Source organism: Homo sapiens, chromosome 2 (genome assembly GCF_000001405.40).
Source record: "Homo sapiens chromosome 2, GRCh38.p14 Primary Assembly".
Lineage (NCBI taxonomy): Eukaryota > Metazoa > Chordata > Mammalia > Primates > Hominidae > Homo > Homo sapiens.
Window position 1 is genome coordinate 9,893,646 of NC_000002.12, and position 18,235 is coordinate 9,911,880.

Here is an 18,235-nt window from a genome sequence, read left to right on the forward strand (position 1 = left end):
GCCACTGCACTCCAGCCTGGACGACAGAGCAAGACCCTGTCTCAAATAATAATCATAACTTTAAAAAAAAGGCAAAGCTCAGAAAACTACATACTATGGTATAATACTGTCTTTTTAAAAGGCAAGTTAACAATGAGCAAAATTCAGTAAACTAGTTACCTCTGGAGGCAGAGACAGAGGGATGGGATAGGGAGGAAGTATACTAGTAGATACAACCATATTGGCAATGTTTTAGTTCTTAAGTTGGGTAGTGGATTCATAGGCATTTATTATTACCAGGCTTCATAGCTTACAGATATAGTATATGTATTCTTTTGCATTTTTCAGAATTTTAAAGGCAGCTAAAGGATGTTGTCTAAATAGAATTTATAAAAGAGAGGAGTAGAAGACAGTATGTCATGCATGATTTGTTTGTATATGTCTTACATCCTTAACTAAAAGTGTAAATTGAGCATAAAGACCGTATTTAATGCTTCTATTTTATTATCTATATTATAGATTCTATAAGACCTACTATAATTCCGTCTACAAAATAAGGACTCAGTCTGTGTTTATTGATTACATGATTTGAAATAGCTATAAAACAGTAAGTTTAAACACTATTTTCAGAAAAATTCAAATTGATCTGTTGGGGAGTTTTTCTCACATAGGTAGGAAATTTCTAGACTGCTTCTGATATATTTATTATACAATATATCAGAAGGCCACTAAATAGTGGCATTTGGTTAAGAGAAATTTAAAGAAAAAACATTCTATTAAATTTTAGTGGTAAATATATAAAGGATATAACTTCTGCTTGTTAGCAAGGACATTTAAAAATAAGAGTTATGGGTGTGTCAGTATCATTCATATGAAAAAGTTAGCAGTTCATATTCTTACCAGTATGCTGAAACCAACAGTGAATTACTCAGGCTAGAAAATGTATCTGAGGCTACATTTATATTTCTTTTAGAATCATACCTCATGTTTGCTAAGTGAAGCTGATAATTTTGTGTGGATTACCTGTGATTTTGTTTCATCCTGGGCCAGTATGCCCCAGTACCCAGTATACCTGGGGCTTCCCTCACCTGTCCCTCCCAGGAGGAGAGAATGGGAACCTGGTGTTACACTAGCCTAAACTAAACCGAGTAACGGCAGAGGTAAATCTGCTGCAAGAGTAATCACATGACCCTTCCAAAATCAAATAGAAATTATTTTGAGATTATCTAGTCTTCTCGATACCATCTTTTAAACTTCATTACCACAGATATGTGAAATTGGAACATGGCTATGCAACAATCAGCAGAGCGTTTGGAGAACAGGCACATATTAAGGAGGACTCCAATAGGTTTTTACCAGCTCTGATCCTGGGGCCAAAACAAATTATTATCTCCTGTTCAGTTGGCAAATCCTCATTGGTCAGCAGTTCATAATTTTGTATTTGTTCATAAGGTTTGTGTTTGTCTGTACAAGTTGACAACGCGTTTCTAAAAAGGCCTCATCCTCAGGGCCAAGACTATATTTCACATAAAGCAATGTGTTCACCACAAACTCCCAGAAGACTAGATTTTGAACACAAAAAAAATTTTTTGTGGTTAGGCATGGTGGCTTACGCCTGTAATCCCAGCACTTTGGGAAGCTGAGGCGGGAGTATCCCTTAAGCCCCAGAGTTTGAGACCAGCCTGGGCAACATGGTGAAACTCTGGCTCTACAAAAAAACACAAAAATTAGCCGGGCGTGGCGGCACCTGCCTGTGGTCCCAGCTACTCAGGAGGCTGAGGTGGGAGGATCACCTGAGCCCAGAAAGTGGAAGCCGCAGTGAGCTGTGATTGTGCCACTGCACTACAGCCTGGGCGACAGAGTGAGACCCTGTCTCAAAAGAAAAAAAAAAAGTATTTTTTCTACTACATGGTAGGTTTACTGTCATTAAGAAAAGTCTAGCAGATTAAAAATGCAAGGTGAACTATTTATGCATCATGATACATGTGGAATTCATTTTATTCTTTTTCCATAAATAATTACAGTGCTTTGTCATTACTTCTGATAGTTTTATTCCTTGTTAATTCTCCTTTGTTATGGAGAGTCTTGATAACAGTTTGGTTTAACAGGTGCACTTTGCATTAGCTTTTTCTCAGTTGAATCTGCCTCAAAACAACAATAAGAATAAGTAAGGGTGAGGCACTGCACTCTTTTTTTTTTTTTTTTTTTTTTTAAATAGCTGAGCAGGAAGTTTGCCTCTGACAGGGTATTGTAATCAGGTTTATCACAGGAGCCTGCTGTTGTGTAACAGAAACTCTAGCCTGTCCTTACCTGTCTTAAAGTATTGCTTCACGAAGGAAAGTAAACTCGCTGTAATATTTGTGAAATTCAATAAAATGCTTTCCCAAGCACTCCGTTTTTAATGCATGCTGGAACAATTTATTGTAGCTTTGTGGTCTTTTAAAAAACATGTTAAACTTGTGATTTCTTACTATTGTAATGAAATGGACCTGTATCACTCGAGAAGCCCTGTATGTCACATTTATTATTCCTTTTAGACACATCCTCAGCCAAGTGTAGTAAATGTCCACACTCCCTCCCTGCTTCCCTCCCTTCCTTCCCTCTTTTTTCAAGAAGAGGAGGTTTGTGTTGCCTTCAGATGACTGTTGATTTAATTGACAGGCAGCTTTTCTTCATTGTGTGCTTTTTGCTATTGCTCACAAAAGTGCATTCACTATTCTATAGTATGTTGAAACTTTTAAATGGAAACGGCTTTTCATTAACAAAGGAAGCATTTTCTTCCCCCCTTCCATGCCTTAGCTTTCTCCGCTAAGTCTTGGCTTCTTCAGCAGCTGTACCTCCACCAGAAATGACAAAAGGTGCAATTGTGCTAGGAGATGGCGATGAAGATATGCCAGTGGAGTTTTGTGTGTGGGCTGCTGGGGACTGTTTTCCTTCTGTGTTTGGTTTTGTTTTATTTTTGTTATTCCAGAAAGTTGAGAGCACATCTAAAAACCAAAAAAAAAAAAAAAAAAAAAAGCTTTAAAAACCCTTTTCAAACCTTTATCCCAGCTGAGCTTTCTTTCCATTAAGTTGTTCTGTTAGTATTTCAGTGGCCCCTCTGTCTTAATAACAACAAATCTGGCAAAACTCACTTAAAGCAGAGGGACATGGAATACAGAGAGTGTTGATGTGGTTTTTCTTTTTCTAAGCAGGCCATGAGAGTCTGAGTCTTCCTGCCATTATCCTGACTTAAGAGCAGAGCAGAGCTCAGGAGAGGAGATAGGTGTGCAAATTAAATTTTAGTCTTTCCAGCCATCTCCTTTTTCTGAGTTGTGATTCCTGAGCCCAAGTAGATAGCCAGTTCATTTCATTTACTTAAATTAATTTGGAGATAACCCTCTTCTCCTTTTTCTGCCTCTGCCTCTTCTGCTGCTTCATTTGTGACTCAACTTTCTGGAGTATGGTGCTGACTTGAAGCCCTATTTACTTCTAGCAAAAATCTTTCAGTTTACCTGGTAGAATAAACTGAAAATCTAGTACCTTTCAGGGGCACCATCTCTTCACAGCATACCAAATAATCAGATCACTGATTGAACCAAAGTATTGGGTCTAGATATACTTGTCTGTATTAGATACAATTTATTCTGTCAGTGACTTAAAATAGGGCTACTTCTATCTTTTCAGCCTTGATTTTCTTGATATATTTTAAACCTACAGATCAGTTTAAAAATAGATAATATGTAACATAGATACTATTCTACCACAGTCCTTGGCAGTGTTTCTCAGTCCTCTCAAGAATTAGTCATTTCATCATCCCTCACTAGACGCAGCAAGAAGGGATAAAGAGGAAACTGGAAATTTGTTCTGAAGTACATCTCCAATATTTTGAATGTTGATCAACAGCATTCTGATCTTCTCCCTGAATGAGTAAAAAGAAAAGATGTAATACTGGGTCAGCCAAACCCACTGCGTGGCACTTAGCCAGGATGATTCATTTTGCTTGGAGCAATCTTACACCCTTTGTGAAACTGGGTTTCTTTTGGTTGAAGGAAGAAAAAGACTCGTCCAGAGCTGTCAGTCACTTCTTAAGCACCTTCAAATGAGGGCCTTATTGGATTGTTTTGATCTGCCCAGAATCTTCAAACCTGACTCTAGATTTGTTCACCTTCTTACTCTGTAGGCCACATGTAATGCTTGGGATTTTTTGTACAATCTTTATTAGAATAATAACCTGACAGGTTTCAAATCTACTTGAGGGAAGTTGAAGTGAACATAATGATCAGGTTCCCTCATTTCTACTCTTCCCTCCCAGACAGCATGAGGGAGAGAAGCCAGCTGGTGTTTTCTTGTGTTCCTGGCCCACTTCCCCCAACCCCCCACCCCGCCCCCAGCTACCATCATCTCAGCCTCACTGGAATGTGTATGTGTGCTTCTCTTTCCAAACTTGGAGAGTAAAACTATCTGAGCACTTCCTCCTGTCTACAAGAAAAGTAGCCTCTGCATTTTATTTTTTGTTTCCTACAACCGGCATATTCTGTTTTCTGGGGATCCATAGCAATTTCATTAATCTCTAGAGGCTCTCAGGCTTTAGTATGCATAAGAATATCCTGGAGAGCTTGTTTAAACTGCAGATTCTTAGACCCAGTGTCAGAAATTGATTCAGTTAAGTATAGTGTGGGCTCTAAGAAGATGTTTTTCGTAAGCATCTTGCAAGTGATTCTGATGGAGATTACGCTTTGAGCAGTGCATTATATAAGCCTTATCTCTATGTCTGTCTTTTGTTATTCCACCTTGTTCCACAGAAGATTTGAGGTAGAATTAGCAGATAACCAAAGGGTCAGTATAAAACAAAATGCTGTTATACCTTATTAAGTATGTGTTGTTTTAAACAGGATTCTGTTTAAAACTGTTTGGGAACTATATCTATTGAGAAACTGGTCTGTGAGTTTAACATATATGAAAACAGTGAAAATCAAGGCTGAAAAGATAGAAGTATCCTTCCTCTCTCTGTAAGTCATTGACAGAGTACAGTGTATCTAATGGAGAAGATTCTGGCAGGCTTCTTATTCTGGGAAATGTAGACACATATCTTGGTGTTACATTTTTAATAATTATAGTTTAATAACTCCGTATTTCCCCCAAAAGTGTATTTATAAGAGGTTTCGTGTAAGATAAAAGTAGATATTAGCAAGTGGTATAGATTTTGAATGTCTGTAGATTTCATATATGCTGAATTTTTTAAATTTCCAGCTTTATTACACTTCTAATTATGACCTCTTTAACATGTGTTTTTTTTTTCCTTTAGACAGACATTACTTACATTCCTTTTTTCTTTTTTTTTTTCTCCTGCCACCTTGTCTGAGAACTTAGGTTCCATTTTATACTTTTTTTGGTGGCAAAATATACATAAAAGTTACCATTTTAGCCATTTGTAAGTGTGCAGCTCAGTGGTATTAAGTGTATTTATATTTTTGTGCATCCATCACCACCATCCATCTCTAGAATTTTTTCATCTTCCCACGTTGAAACTCATACCCATTAAACACCAACTTCCCATTCCCCACTTGTTCCAGCCTCTGGTAAACACCATTCTACTTTCTGTCTCTAGGAATTTGACTTCTTTAGGTATCTCATACGTGTGGAATCATACAACATTTGACTTTTTGTGTCTGGCGTCTGGCTTACTTCACTTAGCATAATATCTTTAAGGATCACCTATATTGTAGTTCGTGTCAGAATTTCATTCCTTTTCAGGCTGGATAATATTCTATGATATATATAAAACATTCAAAATCTATATATACTACTTGCTAATATCCAGCTTTGTCTTATATAAAATATATATACATTTACATACATACATACCACATTTTGTTCATCCATTCATTGGTGTACATTTGGGTCGTTTCTACCTTTTGGCTATTGTGAGCAGTGCCAGTAGGAACATTGGTATACAAATATTTGTTCGCATCCCTGCTTTCAGTTCCAGAAGTGCAATTAGTGGATCATATAGTAAGTCTATATTTAATTTTTTAGACAACCACAATATATTTTTGAATGTTTTTTTCTTATTACAAAAGTAATGTATTCAGAATTAGAAGGAATGTAGAAAATAATGAGAAGTACAAAGAAGGAGATGAAAATCACAGTCTGATTTCTCATGAATGCCATTAACATTTGCTATTTTTGATTGTCTTGTTTAATGTGCATAAACATATTTGCAAAATTAGGATTGAAGCATGTATACAAATTTGTCTCCTGCATTTTAAAAATTGAGCATTGTACTATGAATATTTTCCTAAATCATAAAACAGCCTATCAAAGCACGTTTTCTTAGCTGCTTAATATGATGCATGATATGTGTATCTAACATAAATATCCAGTAATAAGGAAATGATGGATTCATAAAGAAGAATGTTTTCCAGTCACTCAAAATAATGTTCTCACAGGCTATCTCGTGGCATTAGAAAATTCTCACAAAACATAATGTTAGGTCAAAATTCAGGAGATGAAACTATATTCCTAATCCAGTTTGTACAAAAGCTCTCAGACAGGCAGGAGCTTAGCCTAAGAGCAGTGTAAACTATTAGAGGGATTTTAGTAGGGGAATGACATACCAGATTTTCATTTTGTAATCTTACCCTGGGCTGCATGCAGTGGCTCATGCCTGCAATCCCAACACTTTGGGAGGCCAAGGCAGGCAAATTGCATGACCCTAGGAGTTCAAGACCAGCCTGGGCAATATGACAAAACTCCATCTCTACAAAAAATACAAAAAATTAGCTGGGTGTGGTGGTGCATGCCTATAGTCTCAGCCTACCCAGAAGGCTGAGGCAGGAGGATCACTTGAGCCCAGGAGGTCAAGGCTGTAGTGAGCTGTGATCATGCCACAGCACTCCAGCCTGGGCAATAGAGTGAGACCCTGTCTCAAAAATAATAATAATAATAAAATAAAATCTTACCCTGGCTCCCAGTTGCAAAGAGCTAGAAGCAGATATAGGGCTGTCAGGAGGTTTTTGATAGTTCGGGTCTGGGGTAGAGTTGTTAAAGTGATGAGAAAGACTATCACTGAAGACCAGGCTTGGAGGTGGAGTAAACAGTCTGTGGAATGGAATGAATGTGGTGTGTGAGAAAAGGGAGGTGTCAAGGATGTTCCTAAATGTTTGCTTTTTGCGACAGGGTAAGGAACACTGCTGGAGGGATTAAAATTTAGGGATGTGGAAGATGTTGGGATATAGAAGTTTGACATACTAGAAAGATAATCCAAGTAGAGATGTCAAATAGGCTGTTGAATTTAAATCCCAATGTTATAAATATGGATGTGCCCAAATGAGCTGAGAGAAAAGTCCACCCAGATCCTAACAGAGGGTTTCTCTAAGTTGTCAGAGATTTTTATTATCTTTTAGTATAGAATTTTATATTTCCTAAATTTTCTATAATGTTGATGTGTTATTTTTATAATCAAATTTAAATGTTGCTAACATATATTCATCATAGCATTCTTTATACTGGTTTAAAAATGGGAAACAACCTAAATGCATAACAATGAGGCAAGACTGGTTAAAAGAAAATGGGATAGGATTGAAAACCTTTAGCCACCTTTAAAAAAATATTTTGAGTGTTACTCAAAAAGGAAAAGTTGGTTCAGTTTAAAAATAAAAGAAATTTTAAAAAATGAAATCTGTAATACTGAATTGAGACTAGCAGAATCTGGAATCTAATCTATAGGATAGATAGGTAGATATGCACACTTAATAATTATTTTCTCCTCAATTCATATTCGAAAGAATAGTGGCCTCTTTGTCACCAGATGTTGACTTTCATGTATCAGCTTTTAGTGTGGAAGTTTTGAAAAGATGCTAAATCCTTGTAGCCTACCAAATTGCTTCTCATTAGTGACCTTACACATACTTGTCATGAATTTATCATCCATTAAATCATTTTTTAGATGATTTTTTTTCTAAGGGGAACATTTACTGCTCTAGTGTTTTGTTTGCAGATAAAAGTACTTAATTGCATCTCTTACCTGCATTATTTAAAAGGATTAAGATTGCTGTAAATCTTATTAGTAATGTTAAATTGTCTCAGCTTGAAAAGATGCTTCAAATTCTGTGCAGAATGAACCAGAGGTCTAAATTAATTAATTTTACAAATAAAAAGGAAGACACCTTCTTTTCAAAGTTCACTGAGAACTTATGTTTTTCTTTTCTCTCTTTAAAATTCACAGATTAAAATACAATTAATAGTATTTTAGTGTACAAGTAGAATAACTGTATCCCAACATTAAAAAAAAAACTTAAAATGCCACATTGCTACTTTGGATTAAGAGAAAATTACTTTGTATTCTTCAGCTACAGATCAATCATATGTTGATAATATAACATAAACTGAAGGCATTTTTCCTAAGGAAATGTAAGAGTTTAGCTATTGAAATAGTTGTACCAAAATAAATATAATACAGGGAAGATTTTAGCTTCAGGCAAAGTAAAATCAAGCATAGTTATAAATTCTAAAAATTAACAGTGTAATTGTCTCCGTTAAGCATATACCCCTGTACCATTAAGGTCTTTCCACCTTTGTATTTGAGCAATGATTTCTCCCACAAAGGTGATATATGAAGCTTTTTTTTTTTTTTTTACTTTTTATTGAGGTAAAATAGACACGTAGGAAAGTCTACACATCATAAATGTATAGACAGTGTGATGAATTTTCATAACCTGAACACAGCCACAGCACCCAGCTTCATGGAGAAGCGTTACCAGCACCCCAGGAGCTCTGCTGGGTGCTCCCTTCCAGTCATGTCCTACCCACCCTTAGAGTAATCAAATCCTGACTTCTAACAGTACAGAAGATGGGGACAGAGTTACTGAGTTTTATACTTTATATAACTGGAATCATTCTCTTTTGCATCTGGCTTTTTTCTTTGAACATTATGTTTTGAAGATTGATTCATTGTTACATGTAGCACATTCACTTACTGAACACTGTTCTATTGTGAGATTATATCACAATTCACTTATCTATTCTAGATACGTAATTTATGGACATTTGAGTAATTTCCAGCTTAGAGTTTTCACAAATAGTGTTGTTATGAACATCCTAGTACATGTCTTTTATGGGCATGCATACGCATTTCTGCTGAGTATACATAGCTAGGAGTAGAATTCCCTTGACCTAGGAGGTACATATGCTCAACTTTAATAGATACTGCAAAATGGATTTTCAAAATTTTTGTATTAGGCTCAATTTTGATACTGTTCTACCATATCAGAAATGTTGGTTTTCTGAAATCCTACATGCACATGTGTGTTGTACTATAGTTATTTATCCAAGCCTTCTATCTCCTTTCTCGATTGTCAACTGCTTAAGGAGATTGTCTTATTCATCTTTTTATTTCTGAGATTATCTTATTCATGTTTTTATTTCTCAAAGTACTTTGCACAATTCCTTGCATAGAATAGGCTCTAAACTAAATTTTATTTTATTTTATTTTATTTGAGACGGAGTCTGGCTCTGTCGCCCAGGCTGGAGTGCAGTGGCGCAGTCTCGGCTCACTGTAAGCTCCGCCTCCTGGGTTCACGCCATTCTCCTGCCTCAGCCTCCCAAGTAGCTGGGACTACAGGCGCCCGCCACCATGCCCGGTTAATTTTTTGTATTTTTAGTAGAGAGGGGGTTTCACCGTGTTAGCCAGGATGGTCTCAATCTCCTGACCTCATGATCCGCCCGGCTCGGCCTCCCAAAGTGCTGGGATTACAGGTGTGGGCCACCGTACCCTGGCCACTCTAAACTAAATTTTTTATGTGAATAGATGAGTAAGTGAAAAACTACATGCAGTATTAATATTAGGAATGTTTATAAATTGCAAAAATACAAATGGTATATGCAAAAAACTTCGAGTTCTTAAAGTAAGTGCTAGACAGAATATATTAATATTTGTTCATAGCTTTTCTGAACTTTGTAAGAGAATCTTATATATTTTTATATGTGCGAGTTTAGTATAAAGTTGAATTGTGGATTTTTAACTACTAGACTTAAAACCTGGTGTTACTCCCATGTGGAAAGCACGTGAATATTATGTAACAGTGAGCCGCATTTGTTAGCTATGAATTTGAAGAGTAATGAGAGAGTGCAGGTGGGAAAGGTGAGAGGGAGGTTGTGTATCAGAGCAGTCATGACAACATTATAACTCTGATTGGGTTGTAGCTTTCATCCTTTCTCCAGATTCTTCTAAGGCAAGAAGTAGTGATTTTACCATATCATGGGAAAACCCAGTAAGAGTTTTAAGAGCCAAATAGAATTTTAGTGGCTTTTAACATTTAGTATTTATGACTTAAAATTGCTGAGTTAAAATATTAAGGATTTATGGGGGTTTTCTCCCTTCATGCTTTTCTCCAAATTCCAAATTTTATTCAGTAAGTGCATATTAGTTTTATCTGTTCCTTTTTCTTTTCTTAAGCATTCCAAATACTTTGGCTTGGAACATATTACTTGCTAAATCAGAAATTTTTTTTTTCTTTCCAACTTTGATTTTAGGTTCAAGGGGCACATGGGCAGGTTTGTTACATGGGTAAATTGAGTGTGGTGGGGGTTTGGTGTACAGATTATCTTGTCACCCAGGTAACAAGCACAGTAAAGGTAGTTTTTTGATCCTCACCCTCCACCCTCAAGTAGGCCCTTGTGTCTGTTGTTCCCTTCTTTGTGTGCCTGTGTACTCAATGTTTAGCTCCCACTTATAAGTGAGAAATGCAGTATTTGGATTTTTGTTACTGCATTAATTTGCTTAAGATAATGGCCTCCAGCTCCATCCCTGTCACTGCAAAGGACATGATCTTGTTCTTAGGGCTGTGTAATATTCCATGGTGTATATAGACGACAATTTCTTCATCTAGTCCACTGTTGGTAGGCATTTAGGTTGATTCCATGTCTTTGCTGTTGTAAATAGTGCTGTGATGAATACACACGTGCATGTGTCAATGACATATTCCTTTGGGTATATATCCAGTAATAGGTTTGCTGGCTTGAATGGCAGCTCTGTTTTAAGTTCTTTGAGAAATCTCCAAACTGCTTTCTACAGTGACTGAACTAATTTACGTTCCTGCCAGCAGTGCATAAGTGTTCCTTTTTCTGCACAACTTCACCAGCATCTGTTATTTTTTTACTTTTTAATAATAGCCATTCTAAATCAGAACATATTTTTAAAAATAAGTTTTGTTGCAAAAATTGCAACTATGATGGTCTCTCTTTTATTTCAGTCTTGGCCTGACTACGAGGACATCTACAAAAAAACAGTAGAAGTTGGAACATTTTTAGATTTGCCTCGTTTTCCAGACATAACTGAAGACTGCTATCTTCATCCCAACATACTGTGTATGAAATACTTGATGGAAGTCAACCTCCCTGGTAAGTGTGTGACATATATTGTGGGGACACTTTAACTAGTAGAGTAATAATAAGCAGAGTATAGAATCTTTTCAAATCACAGACTATTAGAACCACCTGAAAAGGTCCATGGTTACATGAAACTTAATGTCAAAATCCTTTCTTAAAATAATTCAGACCTTTTAAAATCATTAAAGGGACAATATTCAGAAATAGAGTTTTCAGAAATAAGAGTTCTGTTTTGGTGTGAGGGATTTATGCTTGAGAGAATATGTTTGATTTTTATGGTAAGTTTGCTAAGTGCAAGTAAAGTACCAAATGTTTCAGTATATGTTTTTAATGACCTGTCCTCCATCCCAAAACGGCACTTTTTAATTTGCATGAGGCATTATTATTACATAATGAATTCTAATTTTTAAAAAAATCCTAGAAGCTAATCTGTGGTAACATTTTTGTTGCTTGGTAATATATCCAGTCCATAAAACAAATGGAGATCAAAGTCTGGTCAGATCATATTGAACTCTTTAAGGCAGTGAAACATAGAATGTAAAAAGAGCCTCACTATACCTGGTTCATAGTATACCAACACACAGGTAACCTCAGTGGAATCTGCTGGTGGAATCCAGTCCTGAATTTCTTGTTAGACTAGAAATGTGAGAAATTTTGGACTTATATTCTTAAGAGAAAATACAAACGTGGTGTGACTATACCATTGCTGAAGCATGTAAAAAATGTGATTGAATGTATTGTTAATAGGAGAGTAAAATACATGTGTTATGTGAAAAAAGCAATATATGAAATTGTATGTATAGTAACTATAAATGTGACTATAAATATGTAGTAACATATATAAATGTAAGTATTGTCATAATTTAAAAATATTTTTTAAAACAGGAACAAAAATAATTTAAATTTTTCAAATGTAACATTTCTAAAGCTAAGGAATATGGCTCTTATTGAGATTCCAGAAATCAGTAATTATTTAAGATTCCAGAATTTGGAAGATCTTATTTCTGCATTTGGACATGTTGTATAGATCAGAATTACTATTTTGGATTTTTTTTTTCTTTCTGCTTCTTTGATGGGTCTCTCAAGTGTGGAAAGTTCCTGTATGCTGTCTTATGTTCTAAATCCTGAGTTTATAGAGAGAATACTGGGTTATGGAAGGAATACCAGGGATTATCAAAATATAACTGATGCAGCCTGGTTAATAGCAAGCAAGCATCTATGTCACGTGTTTATTATTGGACAGAGAGGGGATGATAGGTTTTCTGGCTGTTATCTATAGTTTAACCATATTTCTTGCCTAACATTTCCTGTGCGTAAGGAGTAGAAATAAATCCGTTACAATATACAGAGAGACATTATTGTCATTTGATATTTATTAAGTGACTTTTTGGAGGCAGTATTATAAAAAATGGAGGTAGAAAAATTTCACTTCTCACAGTCTGTTCAATAGAAATAATTTGAAATATAGAAAAAAATTACCCATAAATGTCATTAGTCTCTTTATTTATAATATTGAAAAATCAGAAACAAATATCCAAAAGAAAGGGAAGGGTTATGTAAACAGTGTTGTGTACGTTCAGTGGAACTTTAGGTATGTAGCTTTTAAAATAATGTTTATGAAGAGTTCATAAAAGCATGGAAAATGTTTATGTTATAATAAAAAGTCGAACAAGCCAAATTACAAAATTATGTATAACGTAACCACAGCTACAGAAAATGAAGACATTCATGAAAATATTAGAAGTAAATATACCAAAATGTTAAAGTGGCTATTTCTACCTTAGGGTAACACATGTTATTTTTTTCTTCTCCTACCTTTATGTATCTTATAAATATCCTATATTGAGTTGTATTACTTATTAATGGGCACGGGGAGTGCAATAAGCTTTTGCGATTTTTTGAAGATAAGATCTTGCTCTGTTGACCAGGCTGAAGTGCAGTGGCGTGATTGTAGCTTATTACAACCTTGAACTCCTGGGCTCCAGTGATCCTCCCACCTCAGCCTCCCGAGTAGCTGAGACTGCAGGCACGCACCACCATACCTGGCTAGTTTTTTTTATTGTTATTATTTTTAATAGAGATGAGGTCTTGCCATGTTCTCCAGGCTGGTCTTGAACCTCCAGGCTCAAGCCATCTTCCTGCCTTGACTTCCCGAAGTGCTGGGATTACAGGCATAAGCCACCAAGCCTGGCCTGTTTTTTTTTTTTTTTAACAAAAAATAGATCTACAAATTAAGTTACGATAGTCCCTATACCTTAGGATGTAGATTCTAAAATGTTTACAGTTGGTTTGCAAACCACCCATACATAAGATTACAAGAGTATTTCCAGAATGTGCCATTTGTAATTACAAATATTGCTCTCGGTAATGCCGTCAGTTGTGCAGTGCCATTGATCAAAAAGAAGAGATCTATGTATGTGGCACTTTTACAAAGAGAGGGTTTAGGGTTCCCAGAAAGCTAAAAGCGGTTTTAAACATGCTGAGACAATAGCCGCCCCTCCTCAACGCCTTTAAAGGTGACCAGGTAGCCTCTGGGGCTCGGGGAAAGCTTTCGGCAAGTATGTCACACACACCCTGCCTGAGTAAGCGCTGCCCCTTTGATGGCCATGAATGAGCTCAGATGCACTCTCCACCCTCTACTATGGTTCCTCCCATTGTCACCCACGAGCCTGCTGGATAGAGTTTCTGATGGCTTTCATGATCATTTATGTAATTTCTGTTTCATGTATGTAATTTCTGAAGTTTCCAAAGTGCCCATATATAAATTCTCTTCTTTGTGAAGGTGGGAAGGGAGGGCAAGCAGGCTTCCCCTTGACAGATGAGACTTAGGGCAGTTCAGGGACACTCAGCTGGTAGATGGCAGAGTAGATTCCTACAACCCAGTCTTCCCCTTCCAGGGCCTGTGCTCTTCCCACCCTCTGCTCCCTTCCAAGACCCTATACTGTTCTTGCTACCATTCTCATCATTTCTTCCAGTTGCTTTTCTTATTAGTCTGTACTTTTGGCATAAGCGGAGCAGTTCAAGATCTTAATTCTTTTTTTTTTTTTTTTTTTTTTTTTTTTTTTTTTTGAGACAAAGTCTCACTCTGTCACCCAGGCTGGAGTGTAATGGCGTGATCTCCGCTCACTGCAAGCTCCACCTCCCACGTTCACACCATTCTCCTGCCTCAGCCTCCAGTGTAGCTGGGACTACAGGCGCCCGCCACCACGCCTGGCTAATTTTTTGTATCTTTAGTAGAGATGGGGTTTCACTGTGTTAGCCAGGATGGTCTGGATCTCCTGACCTCAGGTGATCTGCCCACCTTGGCCTCCCAAACTGCTGGGATTACAGGCGTGAGCCACCACGCCTGGCCAAGATATTAATTTTAAAAGAAGAGAAATATTTCAAGAAATGTCATTTTTTTAGAATAATAATACTAATATGGTTTTGATTTTTAAATTATCTGAGAAGAGACTGTAGCTTCTACAACCCAATATAGATAATGGTTAAAATTTTAGTGAAGGTATTTTAAAATTAATTTTTTCCATGTTTGAAGTGTACATGTTTGAGTGCAAGAGTCCTATCATTCATTTCTCTAATTTCCTCCATTATATTAATGCACAGTATCTTGTACCTAGTAGACACTCAGTAAATGCTTGTTGAATTGAGCTTAATTCTCTATCTCCTAATCTTTTTGCATCTGAATGAAGCCCAGGAGTAAATTCAGGTGACACCTGTAAATTGAAATTATCTTAATAGTATAATAGTCCAAATTCTCTGCCTCACAAAGACCTGCACTGTCTGGCTCTGCCAGCCTCTTCACATTCAACACTAAAGCCTTGTTGGACTGTTTGCATTTCCTGAAAGCACCATCCCATGTTTGTCATAGCCTGTAGCATACTGCATTCTCATTAGGAAAAGGACTTGAGGAAGAGGACTGTGTCTGTGTCTTAAGTACCCAGAACACACTAGTTGCTCAATAAATGTTTGTTGGAAGAATAAAAGCCAAGTGAAAACCTGAGCCAAGCTACCAGAATCTGGTAGACAGAAAAATACTTTGATGCGATATTTTGAATTATCATTGTTATATGTGTTCTGTTTCTATGTTAACAAAGCATTTTTTAATCAGCAAAACTTTTTTACTTAAATGTTTCAAGAAAGAAATTAATTTTGTGTTTTATTCTTTATCATAAACGTGTAATTAGTACGAATTATGTGTGGGTTGTAGCAGTTAGGAAGACAAATAAAACAAGATTGAGTCACCCTCAAGTTTAAGAGGGAAACAGAAAGATAAACCCTTAACTGTGCAATAGAAGGGTACATGCCAGGACATCTGCTTTAGCACTCAGAAGAGGGCCAGTCACAGGAGGCTGTGGTATCATGTCTGTTCTTAGAGGAGGTCACTGGTATAACCAAGTTCTCTAAGATGAGTGAGCTTCAGCCAGGCAGAGCCTGAGATGAGGAATGGGGGAAAGAAACTGGCTTTCTAGGCAAAGGGGCAAAAGTAGCTGTGCAAAGCAGAGAGGCAAGTGAGAATATGGCTTGTTTGGGGGAACTATGGAGATTAGGCTGGGAGCTAAAAGCTTTAGTGAGTTCATGAGAGCAGGGGAATACGATGATTGGGCCACAGGAGAGTAAGACTAGAGAAAGGGAGAGCAGTTATAAGGGTGGCCTAAGGAGCAACAGTGACGGGAAGAAAGGGGATGGATTGGAAAGCAGTCAGCACTGATCCAAGTGCCTTAGGTATATTCATTAATTTAGTCTTCACAACAGCTATGAAGCAGGTACTATTCTTATTCCTATTTTAGATAGATTGTTTAAAAACTGAGGCACAGAAAGGTTGTATAACATGTCCACGGTCACAGAGCTAGTAAGTGATGGAGCAGGGACTCTAGTCCAGGCAGTTTGGTTCCATAGTCTATTCTCAACCATGGTACTATATGCCACATTGAGAGAATGGAATTAACAGGACATGGTGACTGAATGCATGTAGAAGATTCAGTTCAGTTCCATGCAAGCTCATTATCTCTTATAAAAAATGGCTGTCATACTTGAAATTGTGTGGTCACAGCTTACATACTTAGATTGGGAAGTACAGAAATTTTTTGTTTAGTTTTCAAAGTCTATTCACTTGAACATAACCTCAATTTATTCTCATTATAACCCATTTTACAAGTGAAGAAACTGAGGCTAAGTGACTCTGATCCAAGAGTCACAAAGCTAGTGATTGGAAAGCTTAAATATAGGTCCTAGGTTTTCTGGTTCCAAGTCCCACATTATTCAGTCTTGAGTAATAGGTGTAGTCTATGCTGAACATATAATTTCTTTAGGAAAGCAATATATCTAGTTAAACAGTTGTTGAGGGCTTCCAGTGTGCTAGCCAGGATGCCAGCCAGTGCACATACATTGCTAGAGAAGCTTTTGGTCTCATAAGGGAGTTAGTTTTAGGTGAGCAAACACTGCTATAGAAACACAGACAAGAGATGTGGATGAAACAACTGGTATGTGGCTGCCAGATGCCAGGATGTGTCCTAGAAATAGTAGATGTTTTAGGAAGTCGGAATAGGGAATGATACGCCGTTTTAAGATTCTACCATTCATTTTTCTATATGGATGCCATGTTTTGATGTTTTATTCACAAAATGTGGGTCTCTGAGTTCTTGCATAGTGTCGTGTTTTAAGATAAAGGTTATTTTATGGATATATACATTGGGGATGGTCTAGTTGGCAAATAATTTACATTTTACTGTTTTGTTCTTCAGATGAAATGCATAGCTTAACTTGCCACGTGGTAAAAATGACTGGAATGGGAGAAGTGGATTTTCTGACATTTGATCCTATAGCTAAAATGGCAAAAACTGTTAAGTACGATGTACAAGCTGTAGCTATCATTGTGGTGGTATTGAAACTGCTCTTTCTATTGGATGACAGTTTCGAGTGGTAAGTGTACGTCAATTTTATGACAAGTAACATTTTATGGTGCTGATCTTAGTTTTTTAAGAAAGCTTTAAATGTCATGAAGACACTTTAAAAAAAGAGCTAAAGAAAAAATTTGTACTGTATTTACCTAATTATATGTTATCTCAAAAAATGGAGACTCTCAATTGTTACAGAACATTGACTAGTAGTCACAATTATTTCTTACACAGTACTTTGACTCAGCTGGTTGTCAGTTGTTTGATCATGTTTTATACCTGTTATTCTTTAGGTAGCAATGTTCCTCATTGCTCCACTGATTTCCTAGTTTTAAAGTATCTTCATAAATCTCTATCTATATCCCTTTAGGCTCCTGGCAATATGTGTTCTCAAAGATTATTTTAGAAAGTAAAGGAATCTTAATATGTCACCCCTCCCAGATGCCAACAAAGAGTGACAGTATTTATAGTGTCTCCTCCTCTGTTTCAGTGATTGCTTCTCCATTAAAACATGGTATCAATTTCAAATACTGTTCTACACTTTTCTCTCAGAAGAATTCAGAATTTATCTTTCCAAATACATGACTTCTAAATAAATTGATTTGTTTATTGTTATCTCCAGGTCTTTGTCTAATCTTGCTGAAAAGCATAATGAAAAGAACAAAAAAGGTATTTTAATTTTTTATCATTCAAATTCAAAGTGGTTATAGATGATAGATTAAAAGATGGAATAAATGTAGGCAAACAACTTTGAAAAATACACATATACACATAAACACATGTATACAAATTGTATATTGTACCAGTATTGTTTTTTCATATAATTACCTACTTGTATCTCTAGGGTACTAAAAAATATCAGTGAGTCCGTATTATATGTAAGACCAGGCTGCTTTGTATTCCCAACTTCTACTCACCAGCCATGCTAGATCATGAATTTACAGGCAGCTTTGTGACCATCCTGTCGATTCTGATGCTTTCAGCCTTTGCTC

The 18,235-nt window shown here is 36.5% G+C and overlaps 1 protein-coding gene across 5 annotated transcripts in view; it reads left to right on the forward strand.

The window, feature by feature from the left end:
- TAF1B (TATA-box binding protein associated factor, RNA polymerase I subunit B) overlaps positions 1–18,235 on the forward strand; it is a 90,975-nt gene that overhangs the window by 50,204 nt on the left and 22,536 nt on the right. For all 5 annotated transcript variants that reach the window (NM_001318976.1, NM_001318977.1, NM_005680.3 and 2 more), the window contains 3 exon segments: positions 11,214–11,361; positions 17,091–17,268; positions 17,866–17,912. In NM_001318976.1, coding sequence (NP_001305905.1) covers positions 11,214–11,361; positions 17,091–17,268; positions 17,866–17,912 — 373 coding nt within the window.